The sequence below is a fragment of the Homo sapiens genome, chromosome 17 (assembly GCF_000001405.40).
Source record: "Homo sapiens chromosome 17, GRCh38.p14 Primary Assembly".
Classification (NCBI taxonomy): domain Eukaryota; kingdom Metazoa; phylum Chordata; class Mammalia; order Primates; family Hominidae; genus Homo; species Homo sapiens.
Window position 1 is genome coordinate 576,711 of NC_000017.11, and position 20,399 is coordinate 597,109.

General features: G+C 45.0%; 1 protein-coding gene across 12 annotated transcripts in view, besides 1 other annotated feature; it reads right to left on the reverse strand.

The window, feature by feature from the left end:
• VPS53 (VPS53 subunit of GARP complex) overlaps nt 1–20,399 on the reverse strand; it is a 206,172-nt gene that overhangs the window by 68,043 nt on the left and 117,730 nt on the right. For 10 of the 12 annotated variants that reach the window (XM_047436345.1, XM_047436344.1, NM_001128159.3 and 7 more), the window contains one exon: nt 9,560–9,654. The exons of 1 other annotated variant lie outside the window; for it this stretch is intronic. In XM_047436345.1, the coding sequence (XP_047292301.1) occupies nt 9,560–9,654 (95 nt within the window). Of the gene's footprint in view, nt 1–9,559; nt 9,655–20,399 lie in introns of those variants that run through there. One more of the 12 variants, XM_047436350.1, reaches the window with a different exon arrangement.
• Nucleotides 7,401–7,551: a silencer, noted in NCBI's record as "fragment chr17:487351-487501 (GRCh37/hg19 assembly coordinates)". NCBI's record gives its function as "represses an EF-1alpha promoter that drives an FKBP-Casp9 reporter gene in an ReSE screen in K562 erythroleukemia cells {active_cell/tissue: K562}" and the evidence as "EXISTENCE:reporter gene assay evidence [ECO:0000049][PMID:32094911]".

The window sequence follows — 20,399 nt, forward strand, 5'->3', positions numbered from 1 at the left end:
ACCTCCATGCGTTCCCACAGAACCTCCCTCAGAACCCAATACGTGCCCAGAGAACCTCCCTCAGAACCTCAGTGCATTTCCAGAGAACCTCCCTCAGAACCCAATATGTGCCCAGAGAACCTCCCTCAGAACCTCAGTGCATTCCCAGAGAACCTCCCTCAGAACCTAAAGCGTTCACAGAGAACCTCCCTCAGAACCTAATGCGTTCCCAGAAAACCTCCCTCAGAACCTCAATGCTTTCCTAGAGAACCTCCCTCAGAACCTCAATGACTTAGCAGAGAACCTCCCTCAGGACCTCAATGCATTCCCAGAAACCTCGCTCAGGATCTAGTGCGTTCCCAGAGAACCTCTCAGAGAACCTAAAGCATTCCCAGAGAACCTCCCTCAGAACCTAATGTGTTCCCAAAGAACTTCCCTCAGACCTAATGCTTTCCCAGAAAACCTCCTTCAGAACCTAATGCATTTCCAGAGAACTTCCCTCAGGACGTCAATGCGTTCCCAGAGAACCTCCCTCAGAACCTAATCTTTCCCAGAGAACCTCTGTCAGAACTCAGTGAGTTCCCAGAGAACCTCCCTCAGAACCACAATGCATTCCTAGAGAATCTCCCACAGAACCTCAATGAGTTACCACAGAACCTCCCTCAGGACCTCAATGCGTTCCCAGAGAACATCCCTCCAAACCTAATGCGTTACCACAGAGCCTCCCTCAGAACCTAATGCGTTCCCAGAGAACCCCCAACAGAATCTCAGTGCATTACCAGAAAACCTCCGTCAGGACCTAATGCGGTCCCAGAGAACATCCCTCAGAACCTAATGCGTTCCCAGAGATCCTCCCTCAGAATCTAATACGTTCGCAGAGAAACTCCCTCAGAACCTAATGCATTCCCAAAGAACTTCCTTTAGGACCTCAATGCGTTCCCAGAGAATCTCCCTCACAAAGTAATGCATTTCGAGGCAACCTCCCTCAGAACCTCAGTGCATTACCAGAGAACCTTCCTAAGCACGTAATTCATTCCCAGAGAACTTCCCCCAGAACCTAATGCGTTCCCAGAGATCCTCCCTCAGAATTTAATGCGTTCCCAGAGAAATTCCCTCAGAACCTAATGCATTCCCAGAGAACCTCCCTCAGAATCTCAGTGCATTACCAGAGAACCACCCTCAGGACCTAATGTGGTCCCAGAGAACATCCCTCAGAACCTAATGCGTTCCCAAAGATCCTCCCTCAGGACCTAATGCGTTCCCAAAGATCCTCCTTCAGAATCTAACACACTCACAGAGAAATTCCCTCAGAACATAATGCGTTCCCAAAGAACTTCCCTTAGGACCTCAATGCGTTTTCAGAGAACCTCCCTCAGAACCTAATGCGTTCCCAGGCAACCTCCCTCAGAACCTCACTGCATTACCAGAAAACCTTCCTAAGCAGGTAATTCTTTCCCAGAGAAATTCCCTCAGAACCTAATGCGTTCCCAAAGAATCTCCCTCAGAATCTAATGCATTCCTAGAGAACATCCCTCAGAACCTGATGCGTTCCCAGAGATCCTCCCTCAGAATTTAATGCGTTCCCAGAGAAATTCTCTCAGAACCTAATGCGTTCCCAGAGATGCTCCCTCAGAATTTAATGCGTTCCCAGAGAAATTCTCTCAGAACCTAATGCGTTCCTAGAGAACCTCCCTCAGAACCTCAGTGCGTTTCCAGAGAAGCTCCCTCAGAACGTAATGCATTCCCAGACAACTTCCCTCAGAACCTAATTCCTTCCCAGAGAACCTCTCTCAGAACCTAATGCATTCCTAGAGAACTTCCCTCAGAACCTAATGCGTTCCCAGAGATCCTCCCTCAGAATTTAATGCGTTCCCAGAGAAATTCCCTCAGAACCTCAGTGCGTTCCCAGAGAACCTCCCTCAGAACCTCAGTGCGTTTCCAGAGAAGCTCCCTCAGAAGCCAATGCATTCCCAGACAACTTCCCTGAGAACCTAATTCCTTCCCAGAGAACCTCCCTCAGAACCTCAGTCAATTACCAGAGAACCTCCCTCAGAACCTAATGCGATCCCAGAGAACATCCCTCAGAACCTAATGCGTTCCTAGAGAACCCCCAACAGAATCTCAGTGCATTACCAGAAAACCTCCCGCAGGACCTAATGCGGTCCCAGAGAACATCCCTCAGAACCTAATGCGTTCCCAGAGAACCTCCCTCAGAATGGAATGCGTTTGTAGAGAACTTCCTTCAGAACCTAAGGCGTTCCCAAAGATCCTCCCTCAGAACCTAATGCGTTCCCAGAGAACCCCCAACAGAATCTCAGTGGGTTACCAGAAAACCTCCCTCAGGACCTAATGCGGTCCCAGAGAACCTCCCTCAGAACCTCAGTGCATTACCAGAGAACCTTCCTCAGGACCTAATGCGGTCCCAGAGAACATCCCTCAGAACCTAATGCGTTCCCAGAGAACCTCCCTCAGAACCTAATGCGTTCCCAGAGAATCTCCCTCAGAACCTAATGCGTTCCCAGAGAACCTCCCTCAGAACCTAATGCGTTCCCAGAGAACCTCCCTCAGAACCTAATGTATTCCTAGAGAACTTCCCTCAGAACCTAATGCGTTCCCAGAGATCCTCCCTCAGAATTTAATGCGTTCCCAGAGAAATTCCCTCAGAACCTAATGCCTTCCCAGAGAACCTCCCTCAGAATCTCAGTGCATTACCGGAGAACCACCCTCAGGACCTAATGTGGTCCCAGAGAACATCCCTCAGAACCTAATGCGTTCCCACAGAACTTCCCTCAGAACCTCAGTGCGTTTCCAGAGAACCTCCCTCACAATCTCAGTGCATTCCCAGAGAACTTCCCTCAGGACCTCAATGTGTTCTCAGAGATCCTCCCTCATGACCTAATGTGTTCCCAGAGAACCTCCCTCAGAACCTAATGCATTCCGAGAGAACTTCCCTCAGAACCTAATTCCTTCCCAGAGAACCTCCCTCAGAACCTCAGTGCATTACCAGAGAACCACCCTCAGGACCTAATGCGTTCTCAGAGAACCTCCCTCAGAACCTAATTCCTTCCCAGAGAACCTCCGTCAGAACCTGAGTGCATTAACAGAGAACCACCCTCAGGACCTAATGCGTTCCCAGGGAACCTCCCTCATAACCTAATTCCTTGCCAGAGAACCTCCCTCAGAACCTCAGTGCATTACCAGAGAACCACCGTCAGGACCTAATGTGGTCCCAGAGAACATCCCTCAGAATCTAATGCATTCCCAGAGAACCCCCAACAGAATCTCAGTGGGTTACCAGAAAACCTCCCTCAGGACCTAATGCGGTCCCAGAGAACCTCCCTCAGAACCTCAGTGCATTACCAGAAAACCTCCCTCAGGACCTAATGCGGTCCCAGAGAACATCCCTCAGAACCTAATGCGTTCCCAGAGAACCTCCCTCAGAACCTAATGTGTTCCCAGAGAACCTCCCTCAGAACCTAATTCCTTCCCAGAGAAGCTCCCTCAAAACCTAATGCATTCCCAGACAACTTCCCTCAGAAACTAATGCGTTCCCAGAGATCCTCCCTCAGAATTTAATGCGTTCCCAGAGAAATTCCCTCAGAACCTAATGCGTTCCCAGAGAACCTCCCTCAGAACCTCAGTGCGTTTCCAGAGAACCTCCCTCACAATCTCAGTGAATTCCCAGAGAACTTCCCTCAGGACCTCAATCTGTTCCCAGAGATCCTCCCTCAGGACCTAAGGTGTTCCCAGAGATCCTCCCTCAGAACCTAATGCGTTCCCAGAGAACCTCCCTCAGAACCTAATGCATTCCCAGAGAACTTCCCTCAGAACCTAATTCCTTCCCAGAGAACCTCCCTCAGAACCTCAGTGCATTGCCAGAGAACCTCCCTCAGGACCTAATGTGTTCCCAGGGAACCTCCCTCAGAACCTAATGTGTTCCCAGAGAACCTCCCTCAGGACAGAATGCGTTCCTAGAGAACTTCCCTCAGAACCTAATGCGTTCCCAGAGATCCTCCCTCAGAATCTAATGCGTTCGCAGAGAAATTCCCTCAGAACCTGATGCATTACCAGAGAACTTCCCTTAGGACCTCAATGCGTTCCCAGAGAACCTCCCTCAGAACCTAATGCATTCCAAGAGAACCTCCCTCAGAACCTAATGCATTCCAAGAGAACCTCCCTCAGAACCTCAACGCATTCGCAGAGATCAAGACCTCTACGCGTTCCCAGAGACCCTCCCTCAAGACCTAATGGGTACCCAGAGAACCTCCCACAGAACCTAATGCGTTCCCAGATAACCTCCCTCAGAACTTAATGCATTCCCAGAGACCTTCCCTCACAACCTAATGCGTTCCCACAGGACTTCACTCAAGACCTAATGTGTTCCCAGAGAACTTCCCTCAGGACCTAATGCATTCCCAGAGAACCTCCCTCAGGACCTAATGCGTTTCCAGAGAACCTCCCTTAAAAGCTAGTGCGTTCGCAGAGAACCTCCCTCAGAACCTAATGCATTCCCACAGATCTTCACTCAGGACCTGATGCGTTCCCAGAGAACTTCCCTCAGGATCTCAATTCGTTTCCAGAGAACCTCCCTCAGGACCTCAATGCGTTCCCAGAGAACCCCTCTCAGAACCTAATGGGTTCCCAGAGAACTTCCCTAAGAACCTAATTCGTTCCCAGAGAACCTCCCTGAGAACCCTGAGGTCACAGAGGACCTTCCTCAGAACCTAATGCATTCCCAGAGAACTTCCCTCAAAACCTAATGCATTCCCTGAGAATCTCCCTCAGAACATAATGCGTTCCCAAAGAAGCTCCCACACAACCTACTGCGTTCCCAGAGAACCTCCCTCAGAACCTGAATGCATTCCCAGAGAACTTCCCTCAGAACCTAAGGCATTCCCAGAGAACTTCCCTCAGAACCTAATGCGTTCCCAGAGAACCTCCCTAAGGACGTAATGCATTCACAGAGGACTTCCCTCAGAACCTAATGCATCCCCGGAAAACCTTCCTCAGAACCTAATGCGTTCCTAGAGAACTTTCCTCAGAACTTAAATGCGTTCCCAGAGATCCTCCCTCAGAATCTAATGCGTTCCCACAGAAATTCCCTCAGAACCTACTGCGTTCCCAGAGAACTTCCCTTAGGACCTCAATGCGTTCCCAGAGAACCTCCCTCAGAACCTCAGTACATTCGCAGACAACCTCCCTTGGAACCTCAGTGCATTCCCAGATAACCTCCCTGAGGACCTCAATGTGTTCCCAGAGACCCTCCCTCAGAACCTAATGTGTTCCCAGAGAACCTCCTTCAGAACCTAATGCGTTCCCAGAGAACCTCCCTCAGAATCTAATGCATTCCCAGAGAACCTCCCTCAGAACCTCAGTGCAATCCCAGAGAACCTGCCTTCAAACCTAATGCGTTCCCAGAAAACATCCCTCAGGAACTAATGAGTTCCAGGAGAACTTCCCTCAGAACCTAATGTGTTCCCAGAGAACCTCCCTCAGAACCTAATGCATCCCAGAGAACATCACTCAGAACCTAATGTGTTCCCAGAGAACCTCCCTCAGAACCTCAGTGCATTCTGAGAACCTCCCTCAAAACCTCAGTGTGTTCCCAGAGAACCTCCCTGAGGACCTAATGCATTCCCAGAGAACCTCCCTCAGAACCCAATGTGTCCCCAGAGAACCTCCCTCACAACCCAGTGCGTTCCCAGAGAACCTCCCTCAGGACCTCAATGCGTTCCCACAGAACTTCCCTCATCATCTAATGCATTCCCAAAGAACCTCCCTCAGAACCTAGTGCATTCCCAGAGAACATCACTCAGGACCCAATGTGTTCCCAGAGAACCTCCACAGAAGCTCAATGCGTTCCCAGAGAACCTCCTTCAGACGCTAATGTGTTCCCAGGGAACTTCCCTCAGAACCTCAACGCAGTCCCAGAGAAACTCCCTCAGACCCTAACGTGTTCCCAGAGAACCTCCCTTAGAACCCAATGCGTTCCCAGAGAACCTCCCTCAGAACCTAATGCGTTCCGAGATAACCTCCCTCAGAATCTCAATGCGTTCCCAGAGAACTTCTCTTAGAACCTAATGCGTTTCCAGAGAACCTCCCTCAGAATCTCCATGCATTCTCAGAGGACTTCCCTCAGAACCTAATGTGTTCCCAGAGAACTTCCCTCAGGACCTAATGCGTTCCCAGAGAACTTCCCTCAGGACCTAATGCGTTCCCAGAGAACCTCCCTCAGGACCTAATGTGTTTCCAGAGAACCTCCCTTAGAACCTAATGCGTTCCTAGAGAACTTCCCTCAGAATCTAAAGTGTTCCCAGAGAACCTCCCTCAGAACCTCAGTGCATTAGCAGAGAACCTCCCTCAGAACCTAATGCGTTCCCACAGAACTTCCCTCACAACCTAATGCGTTCCCAAAGAACTTCCCTCAGGACCTCAATGCGTTCCCAGAGAATCTCCCTCAGAACCTAATGCGTTCCCAAAGAACTTCCCTCAGAACCTAATATGTTCCCAGAGAACCTCCCTCAGAACCTCAGTGAGTTCCCAGAGAACCTCCTTCGGAACCTCAGTGCATTCCCAGAGAACCTCCCTCAGAACCTCAGTGTGTTCCCAGAGAACCTCCCTGAGGACATAATGCATTCCCACAGAACCTCCCTCAGAACCTCAATGCGTTCCCAGAGACCTTCCCTCACGACCTAATGCGTTCCCAGAGAACTTCCCCCAGGACCTAATGCATTCCCAGAGACCTCTCTCAGAACCTCAATGCGTTCCCAGAGAACCTTCCTCAGGACCTAATGCGTTCCCAGAGAACCTCCCTCAGAACTTCAATACATTCCCAGAGAACTTTCCTCAGAACCTAATGCGTTCCCAGGGAACTTCCATCAGAACCTAATGCATTCCCAGATAACCTCCCTCAGAACCTGAATGCGTTCCCAAAGAACCTCCCTCAGAACCTAATGTGTTCCCGGAGAACCTCACTCAGGACCTCAATGCGTTCCCAGAGAACTCCCTTCTGAACCAAATGCGTTCCCAGAGAATCTCCCTCAGAACCTAATGGGTTCCCATAGAACCTCCCTCAGAATCTAATGTGTTCCCAGAGAACTTCCCTCAGGACCTCAATGCATTCCCAGAGAACCTCCTTCAGAACCTCAATGCGTTCCCAGAGAACTTCCCTCAGAACCTCAATGCGTTCCCAGAGAACCTCCATCAGGACCTCATGCGTTCCCAGGGAACCTCCCTCAGAACCTCAATGCATTCCCAGAGAACTTCCCTCAGTACCTAATGCGTTCCCAGGGAACCTCCCTCAGGACCTAATATGTTCCCAGATAACTTCCCTCAGTACCTAATGCATTCCCCAAGAAGCTCCCTCAGAACCCAATGTGTTTCCAGAGATCTTCCCTCAGAACCTCAGTGTGTTCCTGAAGAACTTCCCTCAGGACTTTCCTGCAGCCGCTGTTGCTCTCCCCATGGGAGCCACCTTCTGGTCCCTTCCGAGTGCGTTCTTTAGACTGTGAGGCTTCCTCTGGGAGCCCAGGCCAGTCTGTCTCCAGTCATCTCGTTACAATCATCTTGACCTTTCCAAAACCTGCCTTCCAACGTGGAAGGGCTTGGCTGCGGACAAGGACGCAGGGATGAGGAGGAGTCTTCCTCCTTTTCTAATGCCCCCTCACGCACACAACGGACACTGGAGCACGAACACAGTCTTCGGCTGTTAGTTTGGAAGTCTTTGGGATTTTTTTAAAAACAGGGTGGGAGGGAAGAAACCTGGCCGCAGTGAGATGCTTTATAAAAATATTTGGAGGCTACAAGTTTGTGAAAAGCATATAGTATATTTTGTTTGCTTTTCTTTTCTTTTTTTCTTTTGAGACGAAGTCTCTGTCACCAAGCTGGGTGGCATAGTGACGGCTAATTGCAGCCTCTGCCTCCTGGGCTCCAGTGATTTTCCCACCTCAGCCTCTCGAGTAGCTGGGACTACAGGTGTGCATCACCACACCTGACTAGTTTTTTTAAAAAAATTATTTATAAAGATGAGGTTTCAGCATGTTGCCCAGGCTGGTCTTGAATCCTGGGCTCAAGAGCTCCTCCTACCTTGGCCTCCCAAAGTGCTGGGATTACAGGTGTGACCCACTGTACCTGGCCACGTGAAAAGCATATACTGTATTATATAGATGATCCATAAAATAAAATCAGAATCCATGAGTTCATACTGATATATAAACAAATAGGGGAGAGGGAAAATTCTTCCATATAGTAGAACTCCAATTAGTAAATGTAGAAGAAATGATGAAAATAGACAATCGACATTTGGCAAATGCCACAGAAACAACGCTTCCGTCAGGAATCAATCAAGGGATGCGAAATGAGTGGGCAAAAGTTTGATGAGAGCAGGATATTTACAAAGTATCATCCCATAAGATACTTATTAATTACCAGGAGAAAAATAGTAACTTCACATTGAAGACAGTTGGCAGGTACCACCTAAAGCAAGTAATCGAAGTCCCCAATAATGGGACAAATCAATGTGATGTGCCTCTTGACACAATGCACTGGGGATACAATGCCACTTTTATGGTGTTCTTGCCCAAAATTGATTTCATCAAGAAAAAACAAACAAAAACTGAGGACATTGTACAAAATACCTGGCCAGTACACACTGAGGTCGTGAAAGACAAAGAAAACTTGAGGAATGGCTGGGCAAGGTGGCTCATGCCTGTAATTCCAGCACTTTGGGAGGCTCAAGTGGGTGGATCATTTGAGCCCAGGAGTTCCAGACCAGCCTGGGCAACACAGGGAGACAGAATCTCTACTAAAAATAGAGGGTGGCATGTGCCTGTGGTCCCAGCTACTTGGGAGACTGCAGTGGGAGGATTGCTTGAGCCCAGGAGATGGAGGATGCAGTAAGTCATAATCTCACCACTGCACCCCAGCCTGGGGGACAGCGTGAGACTCTGTCTCAAAAAAGGAGGGGAGGGGAGGGAATAAAAAGATGAGGAACTACTCAAGATTAAAGGAGACCAAGATCAAAGAGATCTGACAACGAAATGCATGATTATTGGGTCCTGGACCAGAAAAAGGGGCATTAATGGGACAGTATTACCTTCTCGATTTTGGTAACTCTGGTTGTTATGTAAGATGTTAACATTCTCTGAGGAGGGCATGTGAAAATTTTTTGTCCTATTTTTGTAACTTTTTTATAAGTCTAAATTATTTCAAAATAAAAGGATAAATTATACTTGAAAACATATATATTAGAGACTAGGCTTTCTTCCAATACCCAGTGCCTGACACTGTAAAGCTTTGTGGGCTGATATATGTCAGGGCTCAACACCCACATAGGAAGGGATCCCAATGTAGGGATCCACTGGGGACCTTATTAGGGGCAAACTCAGGCTCTGAGATTTATAGACACAATTAATGATAACATTCAAAAGATGTAAAAATACCCCTAATGGGTTTCTAGGGAGGGTCACAGGCATGCCACAACCATCTTTCAGCCCCGGAAGGAGCTGTGCGCTCCTAAGACCCAGTCATGACCAGAGCGGCGAGAAATGCAGGCAGAAAACAGCGAATGTTCCTCACTCACTTGTCTTGGGATTCGATATACACGTAGAGATGAGGCTCAAAACACTTGGAAACAATGCCATGAAATGGATTGTCTGGGGCTTTAGGCTTCTTTGGCTGTAAAAACAAAGAAAAATAAACCCCATACTTGAGTGATCTTTGCAAATGTTCAAGAATTTTTTTAAAAACATCATTTCAAAGTTCATTCCTAAGTCACAGATAAGAGAGTACTCAATGTAACCCAATACGATGGTTTCACCATTCACCCTGGCAGGTGAAGAAAAACCAGCTTTGTTAGCATAACTCACTTGCTCTGGACGATGAAAGACATACTGCTACCTGGATAACATATGTGTTTTGAATCTGGAAGCAAGTCATCATCTATCTGACTGGTGTTTTCCAGAATTTAAATCCCAGCTAATAATAGCACCTTGTATTTACACAGTGCTTTAGAATTTAAAAAGTGCTTTCACACAATCCAATTTTTGATAGCACTTTGATACCAACTAATATGTCACCTGCTCCTCACAATAATCCTTCATGTAGGTATGACTACTACTATTTTACACCTCAAGAAATGAGGACTCAGAGGTTCTCTAACCTGCCCCAACACATATGTAGACGTCTGCTTTTCTTAAACTAGAACTCTTTCTGTTATACCATTATTTTCCTGCAATGGTTCCCAGAATTTTTTGAATTCCATCAGTAAGAAAATGTAAGAAAAAGAAGAATGGACAACCAATAGAGGATTGTTAACTTTATTTTGCTACTTTCTATTCTTACCACGAGTTCCTAAAAAAAAAACAAATAAAGGGTTTTTTTGTTTGCTTTTTGAGACAGAGTCTCCCTCTGTCACCCAGGCTAAAGTGCAGTGGCGCCATCTCAGCTCACTGCAACCTGCACCTTCTGGACTCAAGTGATTCTTGTGTCTCAGCCTCCTAAGTAGCTGGGACTATAGGCACACGCCACCACACCGAGCTAATTTTTGTATTTTAAGTAGAGGTGGGGTTTTGCCATGTTGGCCAGGCTAGTCTCGAACTCTTGGCCTCAAGTGATCCACCCACCTCTACCTCCCAAAGTGCTGGGCTTATAGGCATGAGGCATGGCGCCCAGCCAGAAAATTGTATTTTATACCCCCAAATTTTATAAGAATAAAATAGCAGCATATAGGCAGTACTTTCTAAGAAAGGACAGTTGGTAACCTTACATCAGATAGATAGAGAGAGAGACAGGCAGGCAGGCAGGCAGACTATATTGTCTTTATTTTTTGCTTTAGGCCACTGCAACACTAGATGAGCGCTGGTTCCCAGGCTGTTACTTGGAAGCCACTGATAAAGAAGTCATATGACAGGCAAGTATTTTAAAACAATATTTGCCACTTAATTCCTTTCCAAACATCTAAAAAATAAGCAAAGATTTTCCTATGTATTACTTCTATTCCTAACAAATGTGAATTCTGTCTATTGCCAAATGTCTACAAAATGACCCTGAGCCAAACACACCATGCTGGGGTTGATACTAAATCATAATTTGCATGTAAATTGGCACCCACAACATACTTGTTAAATTGAACTACTCATATCTTATTTTTTAAAAACCCACTTTATTGAGGTATGATTGACATTTTAAAAGCCCTACATAATTAATGTATACATCTTGATGCGTTTGAGGATAAGTACACACCCACAAAGCCCTCACCACCATCAAGGCAGTAAGTGTATCCACCACCTCCCCAAGCCTCCTCCCACCCCTGTTGTTACGATTATTATTACTTGTGGTAAGAATGCTTGCTGGGCACGGTGGCTCACGCCTGTAATCCCAGCACTTTGGGAGGCCAAGGTGGGCGGATCACAAGGTCAGGAGTTCAAGACCAGCATGGCCAATATGGTGAAACCCTGTCTCTACTAAAAAAATACAAAAATTAGCAGGTTGTGGTGGTGTGCGCCTGTAGTCCCAGCTACTTGAGAGGCTGAGGTAGAAAAATTGCTTGAACCCAGGAGGTGGAGATGGCAGTGAGCCGAGATTGCACCACTGTACTCCAGCCTGGCGACAGAGTGAGACTCCATTTCAAAAACAAACAAACAAACAAACAAAAAAGAATACTTAACATAAGATCTACCCTCTTGAACTGCTTATATATTTTAATAAATACTGGAAGAGATAAGCCCTAATGACAGAAATGATAACTACCTATTTCTGGCCTTTAAAAAAATTTTTTTTTAAATAACACGTTGCAATGGTTAAAAACATCTGTAAAAACTGATTTGTAAAAAATGATCACTAAAAATTAAATGTCAACTTTAGACACATCTACTCAATCTTGTACTTAACCCTCTTCCCTTTTTACCTTTCAGGAGTTCCATGTCTTTCATTTTTTGGCAAGGTTTCTAGAAACTTTGGTCCTTCCTAAGAATAAATACAATCTGCACTGTTTTTACTCTTATCATCTGGAAGTCACTGCCAAAGCCAGGCCTTGGACTGAGCCCACAACCACACAAGCCTGGCTGATTGAGCTTGAATCTGCCGGATCTAGAATTCCACTTGAGTGCACAGATGTCCTGGGAGTTTTTCTGCATTTCCATTAGTTTAAGATGAAGGATCTATGATGGAGGATGAGGATTGTGAGGGGTGTCCTCACCCACTTGTCCTGTTTATTCCAAGTCAGTATCTTTTATTATTGATTCAATAAGATGACTTAAGTGAATAGAAAAATGTGATTTAATTTGTCTAACTCTATAGGACTAGATATCATGGATTCAGATTTGGAAAACATGGCTACTACAAACAGATATCTTTTTATTAATTAAATAATAATGATAAGTATTATAGCTATTCTTTTTATTTAATTTTTTTCTTCTTTTGAAGAAAATATTCACACTCTGCAGGATAACTTCTGGTAATTATACATGTGAATTTACATAATACAGAATGTTAACATTTAAAAAAATCAACGTGTATATTTTGCTTTTTTTTTAAATTTTGAACATGTATATTTTGTATTCAGCTTTACTGACTTACTAATTTATGTGTACTTTCCCAACTACTGACAATATTTTATCACTTTAAAATGGCTACATTATGAAAATCTTTAAAAGCCTATATATTATAGATTACTGTATGGATGTTAAATTTTCTGATTTTGATCTATGGTAATAGAATTGAATGCCCTTTTTCTTAAGAAATATATACTAAAATATTTAGGGGTAAAGGACATTATGTCTACAACTTACAAATTGTTCTAAAGGTCGGGGGGGAGTGGGGAGGAAATAATAAAGTTATATAGCAAAATGTTAACAATTGCTGAATCCAGAAGAAAGATATTTAGGAGCTCCTTGTAACTTTTCTCTTAGTTTGACATTATTTTAAAAAGAAAAAAAGTAAAGGATAACGTCAGAAAACTTGGAAAATGGGTACAGTGGCCTGGTGGAAAATTCCAGAGACCTCAATGGAGCCATCTTAAGAATGGCATATTGTCCCATTGATCTATATCTCTTGTTTTGGTACCAGTACCATGCTGTTTTGGTTACTGTAGCCTTGTAGTATAGTTTGAAGTCAGGTAGTGTGATGCCTCCAGCTTTGTTCTTTTGGCTCAGGATTGACTTGGCGATGTGGGCTCTTTTTTGGTTCCATATGAACTTTAAAGTAGTTTTTTCCAATTCTGTGAAGAAAGTCATTGGTAGCTTGATGGGGATGGCATTGAATCTGTAAATTACCTTGGGCAGTATGGCCATTTTCACGATATTGATTCTTCCTACTCATGAGAATGGAATGTTCTCCCATTTGTTTGTATCCTCTTTTATTTCACTGAGCAGTGGTTCGTAGTTCTCCTTGAAGAGGACCTTCACATCCCTTGTAAGTTGGATTCCTAGGTATTTTATTCTCTTTGAAGCAATTGTGAATGGGAGTTCACTCATGATTTGGCTCTCTGTTTGTCTGTTGTTGGTGTATAAGAATGCTCGTGATTTTTGTACATTGATTTTGTATCCTGAGACTTTGCTGAAGTTGCTTATCAGCTTAAGGAGATTTTGGGCTGAGATAATGGGGTTTTCTAGATATACAATCATGTCGTCTGCAAACAGGGACAATTTGACTTCCTCTTCTCCTAACTGAATACCCTTTATTTCCTTCTCCTGCCTAATTGCCCTGGCCAGAACTTCCAACACTATGTTGAATAGGAGTGGTGAGAGAGGGCATCCCTGTCTTGTGCCAGTTTTCAAAGGGAATGCTTCCAGTTTTTGCCCATTCAGTATGATATTGGCTGTGGGTTTGTCATAGATAGCGCTTATGATTTTGAGATACGTCCCATCAATACCTAATTTATTGAGAGTTTTTAGCATGAAGAGTTGTTGAATTTTGTCAAAGGCCTTTTCTGCATCTATTGAGATAATCATGTGGTTTTTGTCTTTGGTTCTGTTTATGTGCTGGATTACATTTATTGATTTGCGTATATTGAACCAGCCTTGCATCCCAGGGATGAAGCCCACTTGATCATGGTGGATAAGCTTTTTGATGTGCTGCTGGATTTGGTTTGCCAGTATTTTATTGAGGATTTTTGCATCAATGTTCATCAAGGATATTGGTCTAAAATTCTCTTTTTTGGTTGTGTCTCTGCCCGGCTTTGGTATCAGGATGATGCTGGCCTCATAAAATGAGTTAGAGAGGATTCCCTCTTTTTCTATTGATTGGAATAGTTTCAGAAGGAATGGTACCAGTTCCTCCTTGTACCTCTGGTAGAATTTGGCTGTGAATCCATCTGGTCCTGGACTCTTTTTCGTTGGTAAGCTATTGATTATTGCCACAATTTCAGCTCCTGTTATTGGTCTATTCAGAGATTCAACTTCTTCCTGGTTTAGTTTTGGGAGAGTGTATGTGTCGAGGAATTTATCCATTTCTTCTAGATTTTCTGGTTTATTTGCATAGAGGTGTTTGTAGTATTCTCTGATGGTAGTTTGTATTTCTGTGGGATCGGTGGTGATATCCCCTTTGTCATTTTTTATTGCATCTATTTGATTCTTCTCTCTTTTTTTCTTTATTAGTCTTGCTAGCAGTCTATCAATTTTGTTGATCCTTTCAAAAAACCAGCTCCTGGATTTGTTAATTTTTTGAAGGGTTTTTTGTGTCTCTATTTCCTTCAGTTCTGCTCTGATTTTCGTTATTTCTTGCCTTCTGCTAGCTTTTGAATGTGTTTGCTCTTGCTTTTCTAGTTCTTTTAATTGTGATGTTAGGGTGTCAATTTTGGATCTTTCCTGCTTTCTCTTGTGGGCATTTAGTGCTACAAATTTCCCTCTACACACTGCTTTGAATGTGTCCCAGAGATTCTGGTATGTTGCGTCTTTGTTCTCGTTGGTTTCAAAGAACATCTTTATTTCTGCCTTCATTTCGTTATGTACCCAGTAGTCATTCAGGAGCAGGTTGTTCAGTTTCCATGTAGTTGAGCGGTTTTGAGTGAGATTCTTAATCCAGAGTTCTAGTTTGATTGCACTGTGGTCTGAGAGATAGTTTGTTATAATTTCTTTTACATTTGCTGAGGAGAGCTTTACTTCCAACTATGTGGTCAATTTTGGAATAGATGTGGTGTGGTGCTGAAAAAAATGTATATTCTGTTGATTTGGGGTGGAGAGTTGATTTGGGGTGGAGAGTTCTGTAGATGTCTATTAGGTCCGCTTGGTGCAGAGCTGAGTTCCATTCCTGAGTATCCTTGTTGACTTTCTGTCTCATTGATCTGTCTAATGTTGACAGTGGGGTGTTAAAGTCTCCCATTATTAATGTGTGGGAGTCTAAGTCTCTTTGTAGGTCACTCAGGACTTGCTTTATGAATCTGGGTGCTCCTGTATTGGGTGCATATATATTTAGGATAGTTAGCTCTTGTTGAATTGATCCCTTTACCATTAAGTAATGGCCTTCTTTGTCTCTTTTGATCTTTGTTGGTTTAAAGTCTGTTTTATGAGAGACTAGGATTGCAACCCCTGCCTTTTTTTGTTTTCCATTTGCTTGGTAGATCTTCCTCCATCCTTTCATTTTGAGCCTATGTGGTGTCTCTGCCCGTGAGATGGGTTTCCTGAATACAGCACACTGATGGGTCTTGACTCTTTATCCAATTTGCCAGTCTGTGTCTTTTAATTGGAGCATTTAGTCCATTTACATTTAAAGTTAATATTGTTATGTGTGAATTTGATCCTGTCATTATGATGTTAGCTGGTGATTTTGCTCGTTAGTTGATGCAGTTTCTTCGTAGTCTTGATGGTCTTTACATTTTGGCATGATTTTGCAGTGGCTGGTACCGGTTGTTCCTTTCCATGTTTAGCGCTTCCTTCAGGAGCTCTTTTAGGGCAGGTCTGGTGGTGACAAAATCTCTCAGCAGTTGCCTGTCTGTGAAGTATTTTATTTCTCCTTCACTTATGAAGCTTAGTTTGGCTGGATATCAAATTCTGGGTTGAAAATTCTTTTAAGAATGTTGAATATTGGCCACCACTCTCTTCTGGCTTGTAGAGTTTCTGCCGAGAGATCTGCTGTTAGTCTGATGGGCTTCCCTTTGAGGATAACCCGACCTTTCTCTCTGGCTGCCCCTGACATTTTTTCCTTCATTTCAACCTTGGTGAATCTGACAATTATGTGTCTTGGTGTTGCTCTTCTCGAGGAGTATCTTTGTGGCGTTCTCTGTATTTCCTGAATCTGAATGTTGGCCTGCCTTGCTAGATTGGGGAAGTTCTCCTGGATAGATCAATGGAACAGAACAGAGCCCTCAGAAATAATGCCGCATATCTACAACTATCTGATCTTTGACAAACCTGAGAAAAACAAGAAATGGGGAAAGGATTCCCTATTTAATAAATGGTGCTGGGAAAACTGGCTAGCCATATGTAGAAAGCTGAAACTGGATCCCTTCCTTACACTTTATACAAAAATCAATTCAAGATGGATTAAAGACTTAAACGTTAGACCTAAAACCATAAAAACCCTAGAAGAAAACCTAGGCATTACCATTCAGGACATAGGCATGGGCAAGGACTTCATGTCTAAAACACCAAAAGCAATGGCAACAAAAGACAAAATTGACCAATGGGATCTAATTAAACTAAAGAGCTTCTGCACAGCAAAAGAAACTACCATCAGAGTGAACAGGCAACTACAAAATGGGAGAAAATTTTCGCAACCTACTCATCTGACAAAGGGCTAATATCCAGAATCTACAATGAACTCAAACAAATTTACAAGAAAAAAACAAACAGCCCCATCAAAAAGTGGGCAAAGGACATGAACAGACACTTCTCAAAAGAAGACATTTATGCAGCCAAAAAACACATGAAAAAATGCTCACCATCACTGGCCATCAGAGAAATGCAAATCAAAACCACGATGAGATACCATTTCACACCAGTTAGAATGGCGATCATTAAAAAGTCAGGAAACAACCGGTGCTGGAGAGGATGTGGAGAAACAGGAACACTTTTACACTGTTGGTGGGACTGTAAACTAGTTCAACCATTGTGGAAGTCAGTGTGGCGATTCCTCAGGGATCTAGAACTAGAAATACCATTTGACCCAGCAATCCCATTACTGGGTATATACCCAAAGGACTATAAATCATGCTGCTATAAAGACACATGCACACGTATGTTTATTGCAGCATTATTCACGATAGCAAAGACTTGGAACCAACCCAAATGTCCAACAATGATAGACTGGATTAAGAAAATGTGGCACATATACACCATGGAATACTACACAGCCATAAAAAATGATGAGTTCGCGTCCTTTGTAGGGACATGGATGAAATTGGAAATCATCATTCTCAGTAAACTATCGCAAGAACAAAAAACCAAACACCGCATATTCTCACTCACAGGTGGGAATTGAACAATGAGAACACAAGGACACAGGAAGGGGAACATCACACTCTGGGGACTGTTGTGGGGTGGGAGGAGGGGGGAGGGATAGCACTGGGAGATATACCTAATGCCCTAATGCTAGCTGACGAGTTTGTGGGTGCAGCGCACCAGCATGGCACATGTATACATATGTAACTAACCTGCACATTGTGCACATGTACCCTAAAACTTAAAGTATAATAATAAATAAATAAATAAAGAATGGCACATTGTCAACACCGCATGGGCTGGAGGGCAACACTGTGTGGGAGGCAAAGGCACTCCTGCCTCAGCGAAATAGGGGTGTGGATCAATTTCCTGGTTTGATGATGCACTCTAGTGCCCCCCCTGGAGGAAGCTGGGAGATGGGAAGGGGTCTGGATCAATTTCCTGGTTTAATGATGCACTCTAGTGTCCCCCCTGGAGGAAGCTGGGAGATGGGAAGGGGTCTGGATCAATTTCCTCGTTTGATGATGCACTCTAGTGCCCCGCCCTGGAGGAAGCTGGGAGATGGGAAGGGGTCTGGATCAATTTCCTGATTTGATGATGCACTCTAGTGTCCCCCTGGAGGAAGCTGGGAGATGGGAAGGGGTCTGGATCAATTTCCTGGTTTGATGATGCACTCTAGTGTCCCCCCTGGAGGAAGCTGGGAGATGGGAAGGGGTCTGGATCAATTTCCTGGTTTGATGATGCACTCTAGTGCCCTGCCCTCGAGGAAGCTGGGAGATGGGAAGGGGTCTGGATCAATTTCCTGATTTGATGATGCACTCTAGTGTCCCCCTGGAGGAAGCTGGGAGATGGGAAGGGGTCTGGATCAATTTCCTGGTTTGATGATGCACTCTAGTGCCCCACCCTGGAGGAAGCTGGGAGATGGGAAGGGGTCTGGATCAATTTCCTGGTTTGATGATGCACTCTAGTGTCCCCCTGGAGGAAGCTGGGAGATGGGAAGGGGTCTGGATCAATTTCCTCGTTTGATGATGCACTCTAGTGTCCCCCTGGAGGAAGCTGGGAGATGGGAAGGGGTCTGGACCAATTTCCTCGTTTGATGATGCACTCTAGTGTCCCCCTGGAGGAAGCTGGGAGATGGGAAGGGGTCTGGATCAATTTCCTCGTTTGATGATGCACTCTAGTGCCCTGCCCTGGAGGAAGCTGGGAGATGGGAAGGGGTCTGGATCAATTTCCTGATTTGATGATGCACTCTAGTGTCCCCCTGGAGGAAGCTGGGAGATGGGAAGGGGTCTGGATCAATTTCCTGGTTTGATGATGCACTCTAGTGTCCCCCCTGGAGGAAGCTGGGAGATGGGAAGGGGTCTGGATCAATTTCCTGGTTTGATGATGCACTCTAGTGCCCTGCCCTCGAGGAAGCTGGGAGATGGGAAGGGGTCTGGATCAATTTCCTGATTTGATGATGCACTCTAGTGCCCCCCCGGAGGAAGCTGGGAGATGGGAAGGGGTCTGGATCAATTTCCTGGTTTGATGATGCACTCTAGTGTCCCCCCTGGAGGAAGCTGGGAGATGGGAAGGGGTCTGGATCAATTTCCTGGTTTGATGATGCACTCTAGTGCCCCCCCTGGAGGAAGCTGGGAGATGGGAAGGGGTCTGGATCAATTTCCTGGTTTGATGATGCACTCTAGTGTCCCCCTGGAGGAAGCTGGGAGATGGGAAGGGGTCTGGATCAATTTCCTGATTTGATGATGCACTCTAGTGTCCCCCTGGAGGAAGCTGGGAGATGGGAAGGGGTCTGGATCAATTTCCTCGTTTGATGATGCACTCTAGTGTCCCCCTGGAGGAAGCTGGGAGATGGGAAGGGGTCTGGATCAATTTCCTCGTTTGATGATGCACTCTAGTGTCCCCCTGGAGGAAGCTGGGAGATGGGAAGGGGTCTGGATCAATTTCCTGGTTTGATGATGGACTCTACTATGTTAGCTGTCCCCTGGAGGACGCTGGGAGATCAGTACACTGTACCTCGCTGTACTAGGTTTATAATTTATGAGCCCATAATTATTTCAAAATATAAAGTTTTTTAAAAAGTGGTTCAGAAGATGTGGACCTGCATGTGAAGAAGTTTTAGAAATATCTTTATTTATTTTGCCTATAGTTTCCTTTTTATGTATGCACAAAAGTGATATATGATTTGAAAGAAACTATGTTGGAGTAAGTGTGAAGAGCTCATCTCTTAGGTATAAAATACAGATTCCAAGTGAGTAAAGAAAATGGCTACATAATTCCAACGAACTCATCTTGTTCAGTCTGCCACAGGCCCTGCCCTTGATGACGTCCCACAGGTCCTGCCCTTGATGAGGCCCCACAGGACACTCAGAAAGCTGCATGACCAGGCAGTGCCAGGGTTCCACCTCTATCTGCAGATGACGCTGCCCTGCCCTGCCCTCCCCACCAACAGCACTCTTCTGCAGTGAGGAGGGACCCTTGACCCTGCCACCACAGCACCCGGGTCCTCTTGCAGCACTTCTAGTGAGCTGAAGCAAGAGAGGAATAATGGGAGAGACTGCCTGAAGTTTCCTTTTTTCTTACTTTTTTCCTGCAGGGCTGCCTCCTGCCTATGGCTACGTTATGAACGTGCTCAGTTTAGATAGTAGGTGCTGGAATTTTGGCTAACTGGCATTTCCCTTTGCACCAAGCAACTGCCCAAAGGGTTGATTCTCAGCTTAAACACTACACTAAGTCATTTAGCAGTAATGTTTGGGCCGGGTTCTGAGTGTGTGAATTCTGTCCAAAAGCTGAAGATGTTTAAGCTATTTCCTCCTGGAGTTTGGTGGAATAATAAAAGGTTACTGTTGTCACAGTGAGGAGGTCTGCAGCTGGTCCCACTTCCTTTCATTACTACCCAATGTAAACAGATTAAATCGAACCGCTCGGATCACCAGAAGGGACATTCCTTATTTCTGCTCCTTTCTGTTATGCTTTCAGTGTCCCTCAGGCTCCTTTCAGATGTCAGTTTTTATCATTGGGAATATCTTGGCAACTGATTGCTCA